Source organism: Homo sapiens, chromosome 17, assembly GCF_000001405.40.
Source record: "Homo sapiens chromosome 17, GRCh38.p14 Primary Assembly".
Classification (NCBI taxonomy): Eukaryota; Metazoa; Chordata; class Mammalia; order Primates; family Hominidae; genus Homo; species Homo sapiens.
In genome coordinates, this window is record NC_000017.11 from 7,124,387 (window position 1) to 7,143,922 (window position 19,536).

A 19,536-nucleotide genomic window follows, 5' to 3' on the forward strand; every position below is an offset into this window, starting at 1 on the left:
TATCCCTACCCTGTTCAGGTGGCGTGAGCGGGGGACAGGGCTATTTGGGGTGCCAAGTTCAATGGTATTGAGGTCTGCAAGAAGTGCCTCAGATGCCAGGTCCAGAGTGAGCCGAGGCCTCTGCAGTACTGTGGCTCCCCTTAGCAGGGCACACTCTAAAGAAGGCAGAAGTGCTACAAGCTTGGCTGCAAACTACAAGAGCAAAATGTCATAGAGGACAAGTCGCTGCCCCAGCTCCCTCTTATATTGCCACATAAATCCAGAGAACAGGCCGGGCGCAGTGGCTCATCCCTGTAATCCCAACACTTTGGGAGGCCGAGGTGGGCGGATCACCTGAGGTCAGGAGTTTGAGACCAGCCTGGCCAACATGGTGAACCCATCTCTACTGAAAAAAAAAAAAAATTAGCCAGGCGTAGTGGCAGGTGCCTGTAATCCCAGCTGCTCGAGACACTGAGGCAGAGGAATTGCTTGAACCCGGGAGGTAGAGTTTGCAGTGAGCCAAGATGGTGCCACTGCACTCCAGCCTGGTGACAGAGCAAGACTCTATCTCAAAAAACATCTCATTCGAGCTTAGGAGGTCAAGGCGCAGTGAGCCGTGATTGCACCACTGCACTCCAGCCTGGGTGACAAAGCAAGACCCTGTCTCTAAAAGATATAAATAAATACATAGACAGATACATAGATACATAAATACAAAGAAAACATTTCTCCAAGCTGTATGAAGCCTTTGTTTCCTATTCCAATGCCTTCATCTAGAAACTGGCCTCTAGTTTCTGAAACAAACACAACACCATTCATTAGCTCATGCTCATCAGAAAGTATCAGGGGCCTTCACTGCTCCAAGCATCAGCAGCAACTCATAACACTCACACTTCCGAGACCATCCTGGCTAACACAGCAAAACCCCGTCTCTACTAAAAATACAAAATAAAATTAGCCGGGCGTGGTGGCGGGCGGATCACAAGGTCAGGAGATCGAGACCATCCTGGCTAACATGGTGAAACCCCGTCTCTACTAAAAATATGAAAACAAAAAATTAGCCGGGCGTGGTGGTGGGTGCCTGTAGTCCCAGCTACTTGGGAGGCTGAGGCAGGAGAATGGCGTGAACCCAGGAGGCGGAGCTTGCAGTGAGCCGAGATTGTGCCACCGCACTCCAGCCTGGGCGACAGAGCAAGACTCCAGCTCAAAAAAAAAAAAATTCACACTTCATATTCTCTTAGTTCCCCCAAATAAAGCCAGGGCGTTTTTTCCCCTCTGATAATAAGCATCCCGTAATTGTGTTTCCTTTTTCATTTTAGCTTCCAGGAATCTCAGAGTGAAACCAGACACTACACGTTAACAACTTTGTCCGTGGCACACGCCTGTAATCCCAGCACTTTGGGAGGCTGAGGTGGGTGGATCACTTGAGGTCAGGAGTTCGAGACCAGCCTGGCCAAAATGGTGAAACCCCTTCTCTACTAAAAATACAAAAATTAGCTGGGCATGGTGGTGCACGCCTGTAGTCTCAGCTACTTGGGAGGCTGAGGCAGGAGGATTGCTTGAACCCAGGAGGCGGAGGTTGTAGTGAGCTGAGATTGTGCCACTGCACTCCAGCCTGGGTGACAGCCAGACTCCATCTAAAAAAAAAAGAAAAAAAAGAAATAGGTAAAGGGAATGTTGTGTCCTAACTGGAGTTCTCTGAGGGCCAAGGACCTCAGAATTACCTTGCTCAAACAAAGCCTGAAAGAGCCAACCCTAGCTAAGGTGAAGGGTGTTCCTGCTCAGCAACCCACAGTCTCTGGGAAGACTGGAAGAGATCTTCAAGAGTTCCTGTAACCTTGCAGTGTGAAAGCAAAGCGTGAGTGATCCAAGGGAAAGTCCTGTGCGACCCCAGAAGTGTAGGCAGCAAGCCACCCAGGCGCTGAGGCAAGAGACCGAGGACACGAGCTGTTCCAGTATAATAAAATATAAAACAAGAATAGTTATACCAGATATAGATCTTAGATATGATTATATATGAATATCAATAATCATTAGTTTGTAGCAATTACTCTTTATTCCAATATTATAATAATCCTTGCTCTATAATCATAACCTAGGAAAAACCAGGCCATACAGAGATAGGAGCTGAGGGGACACAGTGAGAAGTGACCAGAAGATAAGAGTGCAAGCCTTCTGTTATGCCCAGACAGGGCCACCAGAGGGTTCCTTGGTCTAGCGGTGATGCCAGCGTCTGGGAAGACACCCGTTGCCAGGCGGACCGTGGTCTAGCGGTAGCAAAAAGTGTCAAGGAACAACACCCGCTACTTAGCAGACCGGGAAAGGGAGGCTCCCTTTCCCCGGGGGAGTTTAGAGAAGACTCTGCTCCTCCATCTCTTGTGGAGGGCCTGACATTAGTCAGGCCCGCCCGCAGTTATCCGGAGGCCTAACCAGAGTCTCCCTGTGATGCTGTGCTTCAGTGGTCACGCTCCTAGTCCGCCTTCATGTTCCATCCTGTACACCTGGCTCTGCCTTCTAGATAGCAGTAGTCAATTAGTGAAAGTACTAAAAGTCTCTGACGTGCAGAAATAATGGCATAAGCTGTCTTTCTCTCTGTCTCCTCTCCCTCTCTGCCTCGGCTGCCAGGCAGGGAAGGGCCCCCTGTCCAGTGGACACGTGACCCACGTGACCTTACCTATCATTGGAGATGACTCATACTCTTTACCCTGCCCCTTTTGCTTCGTATCCAATAAATAACAGCGCAGCCAGACATTCGGGGCCACTACCAGTCTCCACGCATTGGTGGTAGTGGTCCCCCGGGCCCAGCTGTCTTTTCTTTTATCTCTTTGTCTTGTGTCTTTATTTCTACACTCTCTTGTCACCGCACACGGGGAGAGACCCACAGACCCTGTGGGGCTGGTCCCTACAAGAAGGAAAAAGGTTGAGCCAAAGGAACCCACCCAGGAGGTGGACAGGTGGAGACCACTGTAGGAGCTGAAAAGAATGCATTTCCCCCATAAGGTCATCCACACAAGTCAATCATAAATGCCTGGTAGAGTTGGATCCTGCTCACACTGAATAAATGGTAAAGAATTCTGTGTTGTTGGTGGGACTGTAAACTAGTTCAACCATTGTGGAAGTCAGTGTGGCGATTCCTCAGGGATCTAGAACTAGAAATACCATTTGACCCAGCCATCCCATTACTGGGTATATACCCAAAGGACTATAAATCATGCTGCTATAAAGACACATGCACACGTATGTTTATAGCGGCATTATTCACAATAGCAAAGACTTGGAACCAGCCTAAATGTCCAACAATGATAGACTGGATTAAGAAAATGTGGCACATATACACCATGGAATACTATGCAGCCATAAAAAATGATGAGTTCATGTCCTTTGTAGGGACATGGATGAAACTGGAAACCATCATTCTCAGCAAACTATCGCAAGTACAAAAAACCAAACACGGCATGTTCTCACTCATAGGTGGGAATTGAACAATGAGAACACATGGACACAGGAAGGGGAACATCACACTCCGGGGACTGTTGTGGGGTGGGGGGAGGGGGGAGGGATAGCATTAGGAGATATACCTAATGCTAAATGACGAGTTAAGGGGTGCAGCACACCAACATGGCACATGTATACACATGTAACAAACCTGCATGTTGTGCACATGTACCCTAAAACTTAAAGTATAATAATAATAAAATGTTAAAAAAAAAAAGAATTCTGTGTTCACCCCAGCAGGAAAGTGAAGGAACTTAGTTGCAACCATAGTGGTGGTTCAGTATTCCAACTATTCAGGTCAACCAAAAAAAAATATATGGAATATGGAAAAATATAGAACCCAAGAAATATGGGCTGTGAGTTCAATCCCATCTGGAGAGCATGGATTTAGCAACTAGAACGGGATAGAGAGCTTCTCCCTGTGGCTCCAGGAAAATTATACTAGTGACGAGCAGCCCAGACCGCATACATTCAGTGTCAGAACTCTGTCCAGCAAGCAGCCCCAGGCAACGCCTGGCAACCCCAGGGGATACAGAATGCGAATGCTTTTCCCTCAAGAAAGTGTATTCCAGACCTAGGAAGGTTTGAAACTAAATATATAGGCAACAAAGTAAATCCAACATGTAGTATTAATACATTTGTGCCAAATTTAAGATAATCTATATTTGGTATTATAATGTGTAAGAAAATTCAGCATACTAAAAGATTTGAAATTAGCCTGTGATAGCAAATTAAAATACAAAATGAAGTACTTGATTTTAGACTCGTGCTTTCTTTTTCAGTTGAAATGTATGAAATAATTTGATTAGGTTTGTAAACAATGTTGGAATGTTGAAGAGTCCTTGAGATTCCTTATGAATATTAATTTGCCTTATTTACTTAGTTTTTGATTGTTAAAATCAAATCCTTAAAATACACCAAATGTGTAAACTCAGTTTAAAAATGTTTCTAGGCATTTAACTGCATTGTGAATGAAGCTGATTATTTAAGAGAGTTTCGTGTCTTTGACTTTCATTATTATGCAATAATCAGTGAGAAGGTAAAGTCGGTGGCTCTTATTTAGCACAATTTATTAAAAGAATAATTACGGCCAGGCACGGTGCCTCACACCTGTAATCCCAGCACTTTGGGAGGCCGAGATGGGTGGATCCCCTGAGGTCAGGAGTTCGAGACCAGCCTGGACAACATGGTGAAACCCAGTCTCTAATAAAAATACAAAAAGTTAGCCTGGCGTGGTGGCACTTGCCTGTAGTCCCAGCTACTCTGAAGGCTGAGGCAGGAGAATCGCTTGAACCCAGGAGGCGGAGGTTGCAGTGAGCTGAGGTTATGCCATTGCACTCCAGCCTGGGTGACAGAGTGAGACTCTGTCTCGAAAAAAAAAAGAATAACTACTTTTATAAGCTGAACTTACAAGAAGTTTAAGGAAAAATTAGATTTAAAATGTACTTTAACAAACTGACAATTTCTTTAAGGAAACAAAATGATAAACAGTTCATTCAGTACACAAATACCAGCATGAACATGAAAAGCTCTCCTTGACTTTAGGGTCCACATGCCAAATGGCAGGGTCCAAGGCAGGCCACCGGAGACAGCGCCCCACCCATGCCAAGACCACCTGCAGCAGCGCCACCCCGGACCCCCCTTTCACCAGGCAAGTGGACAGGGCAAACATGGACAGGCCCCCGGCACCAGTCTGAGAGGCCCAGAGGCTAAGAGGGTGGGCTTCATGCCCCGGCTACCCGTGTCCCCACATCAGGAGACTGTGCACCCCCACCACACCCCTCTCCTCTTTCCTCCTTGCTCTGTTTTTCTCCACAGCACTCATCGCCATTTGATAATGAATGTTATGTATTTCGGTTATTATCTTTCTGCACATACAGCCAGGCATGGAGACTTAGGCTCACTCAGTCCTAAATCCCCAGCACCTAGAAAGGTACCTGTGCTTGGTCTGTCCCCATAAATCTGTGTTGCATGAAGGCACTGATGGCCTCAGCTCCTGCTTTGTGCCCCTCTCCCTGTCTGGACTGCCAGCTCCCTGACCTCAGGAACTACCTTACTCACCACTCAATGTCCAAGCCCAGCACCAACCCAGAAAAAAAAAAGAGTCAGACGCATGTAAAAGTGACTCCCTGTGGGAAGCCAGGCAGGGCCTTCAGAATCAAACGTGATCTTGAATTCTGGTTCTGCCACTTACCAGCCATAAGGGAACCTTGGATAAGTGACTCAAGGTTTCTGATATTCAGTTTCTTCAGCTGGAAATGGGTATAATAATACCTGCCTCACTCGGTTCTTGTTGGTATTAAACAGGTTAATGTAAGGCAAAGTGTCTAACACTGAGCCTTTTTTTTTTTTTTTTTTTTTTTTGTATAAGCAAAGCCCTCACATTGTAGGTGCTCAGTGAAAATCAATTCCTTAACTCTCATGGTAGGTACTCAAAGAAAATCAATTACTGGCTGGGCACTGTGGCTCACGCCTGTAATCCCAACACTTTGAGATGCCAAGGTGGGTGGATCACGAGGTCAGGAGATCAAGACCATCCTGGCCAATGTGGTGAAACCCCGTCTCTACTAAAAATACAAAAATTAGCTGGGTGTGGTGATGCGCGCTTGTAATCCTAGCTACTCGGGAGGCTGAGGCAGGAGAGTCGCTTGAACCCGGGAGGCGGAGGTTGCAGTGAGCCGAGATTGTGCCACTGCACTCCAGCCTGGCAACAGAGCAAGACTCCATCTCAAAAAAAAAAAAAAGAAAAAAGAAAAGAAAATCAATTCCTTTACTCATTTTAACTTCCTCCAGTTGCTGCAGAAAAAGCTCTGCTTCCCTCCCCCTGAGCTTCAGGTGCTTGACTTATATTTACTCCCCTGGGGAATGACAGGAGTCAATATGGGCGGGCTGGAGAACCTGGCACCTGAGCCCCAGAGGAAGGCCCCAGCTTCCTGCAGCTCGGGCTGGCGGATGGGAGCAGAAGCATCAGTTCCTGGTTGGGAATTTGGAGACACCAACAATTTGGGGAACTTCAAAAGCAGGAAGCAAAAAAGATGTGAGAGAAAGGGGAAACACCAACCCTCCTAGACAGCCCCCCTCCCCACCCCCAATCACAAAAATGCGGAGCCCAGGAGAGCCAACTCCTGGGAAGGGACGAATTCCCAGTTCCTACCCCGGCCCATCTCCAGCCTGGTCCAGAACTCAGTCCTGAACCCAGCTCCCGGCTCCCACACCTCCATCAGCCCCAACCCCACTAGCAGCCTGTCCCAGGCCCAATTCTAACAAAGACAAGGGGTGGGACCCTGGAGAAAGTGGGGTTCCCCAAATCACGAGAGAATTCCCTGGCCTCTCTGCCATCTGTTTCCACTTCCCCTGGTCTCTGTCTTCCTGTGTTTATCTGCCTCATTCCGTACTTCGGCTGTTCCCTCCTCCACAGGCTCTCTCTCTGCCTGTCTCTGGCTCATTCACTCACATATTACACAGCAGGTATGTGCTGGGGAAGAGGGAGCAGGCCAGTGAGTGAAAGCAGAGGAGGCAGAGGATGGGGCCAGAGAGGGAGGCAGGGGCTGGATCACGGGGACCTCCAGGGCATGGAAGGCCGGAAGAGTTTTCTTCTCTGTGAAATAGGGAATTATTGATGAGTTAAACAAGGCGACACATAGCCTGATTACATTTTTTAAAGTCACCTTCAGGCTGCTGTATGAGGATGAACCTTTAGGGGTGAGAGTTGGCAGGGGATGTTGTTGCCAAAGTCCCAAAAGAGAGATGACGATGGTGTTTGGGACTGGAGGTGGCTGTGACAACAGTGAGAAGATGTCAGATTAAAAGCAGATCATGTCAGGGTGCGGTGGCTCACGCCTGTAACCCCAGCACTTTGGGAGGCTGAGGTGGGTGGATCCTCTGAGGTCAGGAGTTCAAGACCAGCCTGGCCAACATGGAGAAACCCCATCTCTACTAAAAATACAAAAAAAAAAAAAAATTAGCTGGGCATGGTGGCAGGCGCCTGTAATCACAGCTACACAGGAGGCTGAGGCAGGAGAATCGCTTGAACCCGGGAGGCGGAGGTTGCAGTGAGCCAAGATTGTACCACTGCACTCCAGCCTGGGCGCCAAGAGCGAAGTCTCCGTCTCAAAAAACAAAAGGGTAGATAGTGAATCTTGGAGGAAGAACCATCAACTCAGCACTGGCTGGGGAGGGCCTGTGGGCGAGGAAAGGAAGGCTTCCTGAAGAAGCTTTGTATGCTGCTGAGAAAGTGACAGCAGGGTTAACTGAGCGGGAAGAGGGGGCAGGAATGGGTTAAACGCGCAATGTAGAAAGAGGAACTGAAAGGGCCGGGCGCGGTGGGTCATGCCTGTAATCCCGGCACTTTGGGAGGCCCAGGGAGGCAGATCACTTGAGGTCAGGAGTTCGAGACCAGCCTGGCCAACATGGTGAAACTCCATCTCTACTAAAAATATAAAATTAGCCGGGCGTGGTGGCACGTGCCCGTAATCCCAGTTACTCGGGAGGCTGAGGCAGGAGAATCCCTTGAACCCAGGAGGCGGAGGTTGCAGTGAGCTGAGATCACGTTATTGCACTCTAGCCTGGGCAACAAGAGCAAAACTCCATCTCAAAAAAAAAAAAAAAAAAGAAAGAAAGAAAGAAAGAAAAGAAAAGAAAAAGAGGAACTAAAAAGAGCTCAATTTGGGATAGACGGTGTTTGTGTTTGAGGTCCCTGTTAGACCCTAAGGTGAGATGCCAGGGCAGAAGCTGAATAAACAATCCAGGCAGGAACACACACTCACACACATTGACCCCAATCCCATGAGCCCCATTGTCCTGAAGACACATCCCTGCTCCTGCCCAGCTGGTCCCTGACCCCTGACCCCTGGCTATGCTGGCCTCAGATCTGTGTCTCCTTCTCAAGTCATTGGCCCCCAGGGCCACTGTCCCTCCGTCTCCACTGGGTGCACTGGAAAGGCAGGGTGAGGTACAAGAAGCCCCATTTAAAACCATGAAATCAGCAGCTCAAACACCAGAAAGTCCCCAGCTTTTGCAACAGCTCATAAGGACTGGTGTTTCCTGCGAGCAGTGACACCCTGCAGGTTTCTAAACTCTGCTTCTCTTTGTTTTGTAAAGCAGTGTTCTATCAGTCCCGGAAAGCCCCTGGAGTGGATCACGCCTCCCTAATCTACCGTGTTCTGCATTTATCTGCATCTGCAATGTTTGTTGTGGTCTTGTTGCTAGAGGCCTCGTTCCCCCTGCCTGGTTTATAAAATCCATGTAACCCAGGATTTTTTGTGGTGTGGATACTCTACATTGAAAGGACATGCATGCTTTCTATTTTATTTATTTATTTATTTATTATTTTTATTTTTATTTTTATTTTTGGAGACGGAGTCTGGCTCTGTTGCCAGGCTGGAGTGCAGTGGCGCGATCTCGGCTCACTGCAACCTCCACCTCCCAGGTTCAAGCGATTCTCCTGTCTCAGCCTCCCGAGTCGCTGGGACTACAGGCGCTCGCCGCCACGCCTGGCTAATTTTTTTTTTTTTTTTTTTTTTTTTTTTGTATTTTAGTAGAGACGATGTTTCACCGTGTTGCCCAGGCTGGTCTCCAACTCCTGAGCTCAGGCAATCCGCCCGCCTTGGCCTCCCAAAGTGCTAGGATTACAGGCGTGAGCCACCGTGCGCGGCCGACATGCATGCTTTTGAAATACCACAAGGGCACTGGGGACTGGAAACAGGAACGGAAACAGGAAAGGTTCCCTTGTCCCCGTCGCAGGGCGTGTGACAGCGGGAATAGCTCGTTTTTTCAGAATCCCACTGCTCAAACCTCTAGGGGGAGCCTGCTGACGGGCAGCTTGTGGGGCTCCAACCCCACGGCAGCATCTGGGGGTGAATGCTTACAGCTCCTGAAGCCCCAGTGGGCGTGTGTGACGGGGGCTCTTTCAGTTTTGCCGTCTGTAGGCGGCTTGTGTTCATCAGCTCTATTAGACCTTCTGCCTCATCACAAGCACAGAGGGCTTTCTGTGTCCTGGGGTTCCTGCCTTGGTGTACTGGAAGAATGGGATCACATGTGGGCTTGGAGAATGAGTGTAAGGTTTTTTATGGAGTGGTAGTTCTCAGCGAGGTGGATGGGGTGGCCAGAAGGGGGATGGAGTGGGAAGGCGGTTTCCCCCGGCCCGGAGTCGGGCCACCCAGTGCCCGGGCCTCCTCCAACCACCTCGGCCATACTCCGCAAATCGTTCTGCTGGTCAGTGACCTGCCGGCATCCACCTGTCAGTGTACTCCTATGCCCGTGCGTTCCCCTCGACGTCCAGCCACTTCTGTGTCTGCCCGCTAGGGTCTCAGGGCTTTTATAGGCACAGGATACGGGTGTGGCAGGCCAGGATGGTCTTGGGAAATGCAACATTTGGGCATGAAAACAGAAATGCCTGTCCTTGCCGAGGTCCGTGGGCACAGGCCCGGGGGTGAAGCCCTAGCCAGAGACCCGCCCTTCTCTCCCCAGCACTTCCCTGCCCGACTCCTGTATCAGAACCAAATGGTTTTCTGTCTTCTCGACAAGATCACAAGGTTCTTTGAAGCCAAGCACAACCAGAGGGTCCTGGGGGGTGGGGGTGGGGGGGCACCATATGCCCATAGCGTGGCAGCTCTTCCCTGTGCCAGAAGCACAGAAATGAAGGGACCCTGCCTTCAGGAACAGCACAGTTAGGAGGAAAATAAGGCTGGGCACGGTGGCTCATGCTTGTAATCCCAGCACCTTGGGAGGCTGAGGCGGGCAGATGGCGAGGTCAGGAGATCGAGACCAGCGTGGCCAACATGGTGAAACCCCGTCTCTACTAAAAATACAAAAAAGTTAATCGGGCATGGTGGCGCACACCTGTAGTCCCAGCTACTCTGGAGACTGAGGCAGGAGAATGGCTTGAACCCGGGAGGCTGAGTTAGCGGTGAGCCGAGATGACACCATTGCACTCCAGCCTGGGCAACAAGAGCGAAACTCCATCTCAAAACATAAATAAATAAATAAGAGGAAAATATACAGGTTCACAAGCATGGAGTGAGTGGGACCCCAGAAATAAGGTGTCCAGGGAGGGTTTTCTGGAGAAATGGTGCCTCAGCCACCCCTGGAAGAGCCTCAGTCCAGAACCTCACCCTCCAGAGTTTCCACCTACACACCTGCCTGTCAAAAGACAGCAAACTCCAGGAGAGCCACTTGCCACAAGTATATAGGATCTAATATGTTTGTTTGTTTTCATATAAAATTAATTTCAAATTAAATATTCCTGGATGATGAGGAGTTACCGAATGGGTACAAGGTACATTTGTTTGGGTGATGGAGATTCTAAAAGCCCTGAGTTCACCACTCCACAATCTATGCATGTCACAAAATTACACTTGTTTCCCATAAATTTATAAAAATAAATAAAGCTGGGCCGGGTGCCGTGGCTCACGCCTGTAATCCCAGCACTTTGGGAGGTTGAGGTGGGTGGATCGCCTGAGGTCAAGAGTTCGAGATCAGCCTGGCCAACATGGCGAAACCCCATCTCCACTAAAAATACAAAAAAAAAAAATTAGCCGGGCACGGTGGCGGGCGCCTGTAATTCCAGCTACTCAGAAGGCTGAGGCAGGAGAATCGCTTGAACCCGGGAGGTGGAGGTTGCAGTGAGCCGAGATTGCGCCATTGCGCTCCAGCCAGGGCAACAAGAGCGAGACGCGGATCTTTTGAGCCCAGGAGTTCAAGGCTGCAGTGAGCCATGATTGAGGCACTGCATTCCAGCCTGGGCGACAGAGCCAGGCTCATCTCAAAAACTAAAAATAAAGAAATTCTGACACATGCTACACCATGGATAAACCTTGAAGACATTATGCTGAGTGAAATAACCCAGTCACACAGGGACAAATATTGCATAATCCCACTACCTAAGGTAGTCAGATTCATAGAGACAAAAAGTAGAATGGTGTGGTCGCCAGGGGGAGGGGTTGGTGGGCGGGGAATGGGGAGTTGCTGTTCCATGGATTTAGAGTCTCAGTTTCACAAGATGAAAAGAGTTCTGGCCGGGCGCGGTGGCTCACGCCGGTAATCCCAGCACTTTGGGAGGCCGAGGAGGGCGGATCACGAGATCAAGAAATCCAGACCATCCTTCCTGGCCAACATGGTGAAACCACGTCTCTACTAAAAATACAAAAATTAGCTGGGCGTGGTGGCGGGCGCCTGTAGTCCCAGCTACTCAGGAGGCTGAGGCAGGAGAATCGCTTGAACCCAGGAAGCGGAGGTTGCAGTGAGCCGAGATCACACCACTGCACTCCAGCCTGGCGACAAAGCGAGATTCTCTCTCCAAAAAAAAAAAAAAAAAGATGAAAAGAGTTCCATGGATGGTTGCACAGCAATGAATGTGCCGCGTGCAACAGAAACGCATACTTAAAAACGGTTAAATTTTATGTGGTGTGTATTTTACCACAATTTTTTATGTAAAAGGCAAAGTTTTAAAAATTACTGCAATCAGTATTAAACCTCATTTCATATTTCTAGTTTACTCTTTCGCCCTTAGGAAGTTGGGTTTTTTTCTTTTTTCTCTTATGTTCCCAACATCAGGATAGCAGCGCCACCGTGTGGTCACAGCTGCAGGTGCCAGTCTGAAAGAAGAGAGACTCCCCTGCACCCCAACTATTTTTTAATACAGGTTGAGCGACCCTAATCCCAAAATCCAAAATCCGAAAGGCACCAAAATCCAAAATTTTCTGAGCCACAAGTGGAAAATGTCACACCTGACCTCATGTGACAGGTTTCAGTCAAAATGCCATCGAAACTGTTTCATGCACAAAATCATTTAAGATAATATATAAAATTACCTTCATAGCCTGGACAACATAGCAAGACCCTGTCTCTACAAAAAATTTAAAAATTAGCCAGGACTGGTGTTGCACGCCTGTACTCCCAACGACTCGGGAGGCTGAGGCAGGAAGATCACTTGAGGTCAATCAATCTGCATTATACTTCTAAGTAGCTGAAGTGAAACATTAAACAGTAAAGAGATCATTCTTACATAGCTAAGAGTATTCAATTATTCAGCTCCTGAGAACTATTTGGCTACACTTACTTATTATCTTTCTTTTGCCAACTGGTAAGACATCCTAGCCTGAATCACAAAAACACTTTCTGGTTCACATCTTAGAGTCGAAAAAGGCTTGCGAAGCCCCTAAAGGTGTTGAGGCAGCTTGGCCTGAGACCGTGATAGCTTCTGTTTCATCCCCAGATCTATTACATGGAGTTCAGAAACCAGGACGATTGCATTTATAAGCCCCAAATTTAAAAGATTATTTGAAAAAGAGCTTCTTGAGTTTTACTCTTGATACACTAAATGCAATCCACAGCCTCTCTGCCCTAACAGACTTTCGTGTTCCTTCCCTCTTTTATAGTAAAATTAGGAAGTGGGGAGACGGGACAAGTAAGTAAGGGAATCTGCACAGGCTGAGCAACCCCACCCTCAGCCTTGCTGAGTTCTCTCCACCCAGAGGACACTGTACTCCTGCTCTGGGAAGACAGCGCCTCCCGCCAGGGGATTCCGCCAACCACCGCTCCCTGCAATCGGGGTTACCAGTGATGATTCTTCCCCCAGCATCACCCTACGGTGTCTTGGCAGCCTGCCTCCTTCACAGACTGCCTCGAGAGTCCCTCAGAGCTATTTCCTTAAAGACCAAATGCGAGCATATCTTCACTGACGGGGTTTCAGAGCCTCACTTTGCAAGTTTTGAGGCAGAGGCTCAAACTAATTTTGCTGAGAAGGACAGGAGAGCTGAGAGAAAATCAAACAGAACGGCGGCTCTCCTCCCATTCATGGCATGTAATGCTCTGGGCCCAGCTACATCTGCCATGGCCTCCAGGGACCTGCTGGAGGGGTCTCCCAGCCCCACCTGGTATAAGCCAAGCCTGCTCCAGACTCAGGATCTGCCCAGAGGGCTGGGATCTCACAGCCTGAGGTAAGCATGAGTCAGTCTGAATGTAATCTACCCTCCCTACACCCCTTCCCAGCCCCAGCCTCTCTGAGGGGTCTCATAGCCACCCAGCCTGCCTGTGACCTTTGCTGGCTATAGCTTTTCTTCCCATTAACTTTTTTTGTTTTGTTTTTGAGATGGAGTTTCACTCTGTCGCCCAGGCTGGAGTGCAATGGCGCGATGTTGGCTCACTGTAATCTCTGCTTTCCAAGTGCAAGCAGTTCTTCCCCCTCAGCCTTCCAAGTAGCTGGGACCACAGGCACCCACCACCATGCCCGGCTAATTTTGGTGTTTTTAGTAGAGACAGAGTTTCACCACGTTGGCCAGGCTGGTCTCGAACTCCTGACCTCAGGTGATGCGCCCGCTTCGACCTCCCAAAGTGCTGGGATTACAGGCGTGAGCCACCATGCCCGGCCCCCATTAACTTTTAATAATAAAACATGGTGGCCAGGCGCGGTGGCTCACGCCTGTAATCCCAGCACTTTGGGAGGCTGAGGTGGGCAGATCACGAAGTCAGCAGATGGAGACCATCCAGGCTAACACGGTGAAACACCCCGTCTCTACTAAAAATACAAAAAAATTAGCCGGGCGTGGTGGCGGACGCCGGTAGTCCCAGCTACTCCGGAGGCCGAGACAGGAGAATGGTGTGCACCTGAGAGGCGGAGCTTGTGGTGAGCCGAGATTGCACCGCTGCACTCCAGCCTGGGCGACAGAGCAATACTTCATCTCAAATAATAAAATAATAATAATAATAATAAAAACATGCTGCCTGATTACAGGAACTTAAACTTGTTTTGTTTACCCAAGCTGACATGTAAAAGTTACTAATAACTTCTTTGTCTAGGCAAGTTAGCAAATGACTTTGTAAGCACTGAGCAGCTCCCCTTAACTGTTTAAGTGGGAAGCCAGCCGTCGCCTACCCCAGGCAGGGGAGGCAGGACTTCTCCAGTGGCTCAGGGGAGACTGCCCTTCTTTGCCAGTTTTGGTTTGCAGACAGGTCACTGAAAGGTGGGGCCAAAAAGCTTCTGTGAAGCAAAGAAATTTGAGACCCTAGTCCCTTTCTTTTGGAGATCTAATGTCCTTAGAACCTCTGTGATGAACAGAGGCTCTAGCTGAAGTCCACTGACGGGGAAAGGCACCAAAGGGCCCGAGGGAAGCCCATCATGACTGAAGAGGAAATAGAACAAGTGACCCTGTGTCTTAGTCAGCTTGCACTGCCATTGCAAAACACCACGGACTGAATGGCTTAAACAAAAAAAAAACATTTCTTTCTCACAGTTCTGGAGGCTAGGAAGCCCAAGGTGAAGGTACCGGCAGATCCAGTGTCTGGGGAGGGCTCACTTCCTGGTTTACAGACAGCCACCTTCTTGCTGTGTCCTCACGTGGATGAGAGAGCACACTCTGGCCTCCTTCTCTTCCAACAAGGGCACAAATCCTATCGTGGGGACCCCACCCTCACAACCTCATCTAAATGTAATTATCTCCCAAAGGCCCCACCTCCAAATATCATCACACTGTGGAGTAGGGCTTCCACCTATGAATCCGGGGTGGGGAGGACAGAAACATTCAGTCCCTAGAATCCTGTATCAGTGCTAAGGCCTGGTAGGGTTTGTGAGGGAAGCCGCGTTTGGCACAGGCTGAAGGTGCCCCCTCACCAGATAGAGGCTGAGAAGATGTGCTTTGAGGACCTCTGCTGAGCAGGGCTATGAACTGAAGTGTTTTTTCCTCTGGAGCCCGAGGACACGGTGCAGTTGCTCAGCAGCACTAAGGAGGGACTGGGTGTGCCCTGAGCAAGCTGTCATTGGGGGTTAAAGACTGAAACTGTCACAGCCTAGGTGCCTAGTGGCTTCCGGGACAGAGCTAAGCAGGGCACAACAGGGGTAGACGGTCTGTTCCATTAAGCTTTTGAAGCTCGTTGTCTGAGGTAATACCCAAGGTTCATCGTCTCATGCCAAGGAAATTGAGGATGCAGGCACACACGACGAGTGAGTTTAAGAGCAGAGGTTTAATAGGCAAGAGAAAGAAAAGCTCTCTCTCCTGCAGAGAGGGAGGGGCTCCCAAGTCGGTCTTCTGGCTCCGAGGTGAAATGCACTGGGTGTTATAGGTGAGCTTGAGGAGGCAGTGTCTGATTTGGAGGTTTTGCCTTGTTTTGTTTTGTTTTGTTTTTGAGACAGAGTTTCGCTCTTGTTGCCCAGGCTGGAGTGCAGTGGCACGATCTCGGCTCACCGCAACCTCTGCCTCCCAGGTTCAAGGGATTCTCCTGCCTCAGCCTCCCGAGTAGCTGGAATTACAGGCATGCACACCACGCCCGGCTAATTTTTGTATTTTTAGTAGAGACGGGGTTTCACCATGTTGGTCAGGCTGGTCTCAAACTCCTGACATCAGGTGATCCACCCGGCTCAGCCTCCCAAAGTGCTGGGATTATAGGCGAGAGCCGCCGCACCCACCCGGCCAGGCAGTGTCTGATTTACACAGAGCCCAAAAGATTGCGGGACCAGGTATGCCATTTACATAGTGCAAGAAGAAGCTGGCCGCCCCACCCTAATCTTTTATTATGCAAATGGATTCTCTACCTGGTTGGCATCATGTTGCTGCTTCCTTTACTGTACAGGTGGTTGATAAGGAAAAGGGAAGATGAAGCCTCCATGTTGAACATGCCTGGCCCCAGGTAGCCTTTTCCGATTGGCACGGCTGCCGCCATTCACCCGTTCAAGCTTCCAGCTTGCCTGTCAATGTCTGCAGCTCGATTTTACAGGCTGCTCTTTGTTAGAAAAGAAATGATGTGGGGGCTGCTTTTTGTTAAAAGGGATGCCTTACCGAGGACTCTCTTACCCTCACCAACTGCCTAAGTAATTTCTTTTTAGCTCCCGTATTACTGCATCAAACTATAGCCAGATCCACGGTGACTACAGCGCAGCCACGGCAGGGGTGGCCTCTGGCTGAGCGGGACTTGTTTGCAGCAGCAGCATCTGGTGGCAATCGCAGAAATAAGAAGGCAGTCGAGGCCGGGCACAGTGGCTCATTGCTCATTGCTTGAACCCAGCAGGCAGAGGTTGAAGTGAGCCAAGATCGCGCCACCGCACTCCAGCCTGGGCAACAGAGTGAGACTCCGTCTCAAAAAAAAAAAAAAAAAAAAAAGAATTTCGGCATTTGAGAAAAGGCTTAAGAATCTGGCATTGAACAGGCTATCCAGCCCAAAAGGGACCTCACCTGCTTTGTTGATTGTTGAATGGCCCAACTACATCTGGTTGCAGTGGCAAACGGCTGACCTCCACGAGCAGCTGAAAGTGCCTCCTGCAAGTGACCGACTCATCCAGGCCTTGGACCGAGAAAACAGCTCCTCAACTGCATCAGCTGGACCATGGTACAGACCAGAGACAGGGCAAGAAAAGAAGCAGAGGCTATTGGCCCGTGCAGAGAAGAAAGCTGCCGGCAAAGGGGGCATCTCCATGAAGACCCCAACTGTCCCACGAGCAGGGTTAACCCCGACAGCACCTTGGTGGAGAACAAGAAGCCTCAGCTGGTGGTGACTGCACGTGACTCTCGTCGAGCTTGCTGTCTCTCTGTCTGCGCTGTGTCCTACAGTGGGGTTCCCTTACTGCGTTATCCAGGGGAAGGCAGGACGGAGATGCCTGGTCTGCAGGAAGACCCCAGAAAAGACTGTCACCTTCACACAGGCTCACTGGGAAGACAAAGCAGCTCTGGCTAAGGTGGCGGAAGCTATCAGGACCGATTACAATGGCAGGTGTGACGAGATCCACAGTCACTGGGGAGGCAATGGAACCTCCTTTGCAAAAATTATAACTGAGGAAATTATGACAGTGAAAGAAATCAGACCTAACCGACTCCATCTTGCGTCTAACCTTTAAGCTGTCCTTGTCCATTCCTCGGCGTGGGCTGAACAAACTTCGGGGAGGAATTCAGCTCGTGGTTTGACTCTGAAACAAAATTGATAATAGCCCTTAACCGAAAAGACTCTTCTTGCCTGGGGACCAGTCTGCCTTTGCAAGACTAACAGATTAGCTACGAGATCAGAAATTGTAGTTTAGGGGTCATGCAGACTCTGACTCTAAGAGTCGGAACTTCCCCACATTGCTCCTGGGAATAACATCACTATTGTAAAACCTAAGATCAGTACTTGAGATACTTTTCAGACCCTGCACTCGATAGATCAGCTGACACCACCCAGACTCATAATCTGACCTAACCAGTTCTGCCACCGCACCCAGGAACAGAAGACAGCAAGAAAATCTCACTTTGATCTCCTATGATTCCGTCTCCAACCTGACCAGTCAGCGCTCCTCACTTCCCAAGCCCCTATCCGCCAAATTATCTTTAAAAACTCTGATCTCTGAATGCTGGGAGACTGATTTGAGAAATAGTAAAACTCTGGGCCGTGTCACGTGCGTCCGAGTGAAGAGCCCACCGAACAGGCTTTGTGTGAGCAACAAGGCTATTTATTTCACCTGCGTGCAGGCGGGCTGAGTCCGAAAAGAGAGTCAGCAAAGAGTGGTGGGATTATCACTAGCTCTTACAGGTGTTGGGATAGGCGGTGGAGTTAGGAGCAATGTTTTGCAGGCAGGGAGTGGATCTCACAAAGTATACATGGGTGGGGAGAATTACAAAGAACCTTCTTAAGGTTGTGGGAGATTACAAAGAACCTTCTTAAGGTTGTGGGAGATTACAAAGAACCTTCTTAAGGTTGGGAGAGATTGCAAAGCACATTGATCAGTCAGGGTGGGGCAGAAACAAATCACAATGGTGGAATGTCATCAGTTAAGGCTATTTTCACTTTTTTTGTGGATCTTCAGTTGCTTCAGGCCACCTGGATGTATACGTGCAGGTCACAGGGGATGTGATGCCTTAGCTTGGGCTCAGAGGCCTGACAGGCCGCGCGTGGTGGTTCACGCCTGTAATCACAGCCCTTTGGGAGGCTGAGATGGGGGGATTACGAGGTCAAGAGATCGAGACCATCCTGGCCAACATGGTGAAACCCCGTCTCTACTAAAAATACAAAAATTAGCTGGGCATGGTGGCACGCGCCTGTAGTCCCAGCCACTCAAGAGGCTGAGGCAGGAGAATCTCTTGAACCTGGGAGTTGGAGGCTGCAGTGAGCTGAGATCACGCCATTGCACTCCAGCCTGGGCAACAAGAGTGAAACTCCATCTCAAAAGAAAAAGCCTCCGGTCTCCCGCACAGCCGGCTCTGCGTGAATTGCTCTTTCTCCATTGCAATTTCCCTGTCTTAATAAATCGGCTGTGTCTAGGCAGCAGGCAAGGTGAACCCGTTGGGTGGCTACAGCAATGCCCTGGGTCCAAAATCTGGCTCAGACATTGCTAAACTGCAAAAGGCAAAGGCTAAAGAACTTGCCACTAAACTGGGTTAAACGTCCACTGTTGAGTTTTCTGTACATAAATTCTTTTTTTAATTCTCCTTCAAAAAAAATACTGGTCTATCAAAGTGGCTCCTGCCAGTAATCCCAGCAATTTGGGAGGCTGAGGCAGGAGAATGGCTTGAGCCCAGGAGCTCGAGACCAGCCTGGGCAACATAGTGAGACCCCTCTCCCTCCAAAAAAAAAAAATTAGCCAGGCGTGGTAGCACATGCCTGTAATCCTGTCACAGGGCGACCCCAAAATTAGAGGCTCAGCCCAGGAGGTCACATGGGTTCTTGGCTTTACACAGGAAGGAACTCAAGAGGGAGTCAACAGCTCAAGCCTGTAATTCCAGCACTTTGGGAGGCCAAGGTGGGCAGATCATCTGAGGTCAGGGGTTTGAGACCAGCCTGGCCAACATGGCGAAACCCCGTCTCTACTAAAAATACAAAAATTAGCCAGGTGTGGTGGTGCGCACCTGTAATCCCAGCTACTCAGGAGGCTGAGGCAGGAGAATCGCTTGAACCCGGGAGGTGGAGGTTGCAGTGAGCCCAGATTGTGCCACTGCACTCCAGCCTGGGTAACACAATGAGACTCTGTCTCAAAAAAAATAAAAAAATAAAAAAGGCCGGGCGCGGTGACTCATGCCTGTAATCCCAGCACTTTGGGAGGCTGAGGCGGGCGAATGACAAGGTCAGGAGTTTGAGACCAGCCTGGCCAACATGGTGAAACGCCAT

The 19,536-nt window shown here is 49.4% G+C and overlaps 2 long non-coding RNA genes and 1 pseudogene across 3 annotated transcripts, besides 2 other annotated features; 2 read left to right on the plus strand and 1 right to left on the minus strand.

Annotated features, from left to right (window-relative positions):
* Nucleotides 6,572-7,109: an enhancer, noted in NCBI's record as "H3K27ac-H3K4me1 hESC enhancer chr17:7034277-7034814 (GRCh37/hg19 assembly coordinates)". NCBI's record gives its function as "activates a minimal SCP1, AML or CMV promoter by ChIP-STARR-seq in naive H9 embryonic stem cells {active_cell/tissue: H9 hESC(naive)}" and the evidence as "EXISTENCE:reporter gene assay evidence [ECO:0000049][PMID:30033119]".
* LOC105371512 (uncharacterized) lies at nucleotides 6,861-16,377 on the plus strand. 2 transcript variants are annotated; one of them, XR_934191.3, is made up of 3 exons: nucleotides 6,861-6,942; nucleotides 12,852-13,412; nucleotides 16,292-16,377. It is a non-coding gene; the product is annotated as an uncharacterized LOC105371512 (long non-coding RNA). The 2 variants fall into 2 exon arrangements; XR_934190.3 differs by lacking the exon at nucleotides 16,292-16,377 and adding an exon at nucleotides 16,039-16,125.
* Nucleotides 9,240-9,349: an enhancer, noted in NCBI's record as "active region_11602". NCBI's record gives its function as "activates an Ori minimal core promoter by ATAC-STARR-seq in GM12878 lymphoblastoid cells {active_cell/tissue: GM12878}" and the evidence as "EXISTENCE:reporter gene assay evidence [ECO:0000049][PMID:35858748]".
* RPL7AP64 (ribosomal protein L7a pseudogene 64) lies at nucleotides 16,559-17,206 on the plus strand (annotated as a pseudogene).
* Nucleotides 17,863-18,238, minus strand: LOC124903910 (uncharacterized). Its single transcript, XR_007065600.1, has 2 exons — nucleotides 18,089-18,238; nucleotides 17,863-18,057 (listed from the first exon to the last, which is right to left on the minus strand). It is a non-coding gene; the product is annotated as an uncharacterized LOC124903910 (long non-coding RNA).
* Nucleotides 18,239-19,536: the final 1,298 nt, after the last annotated feature.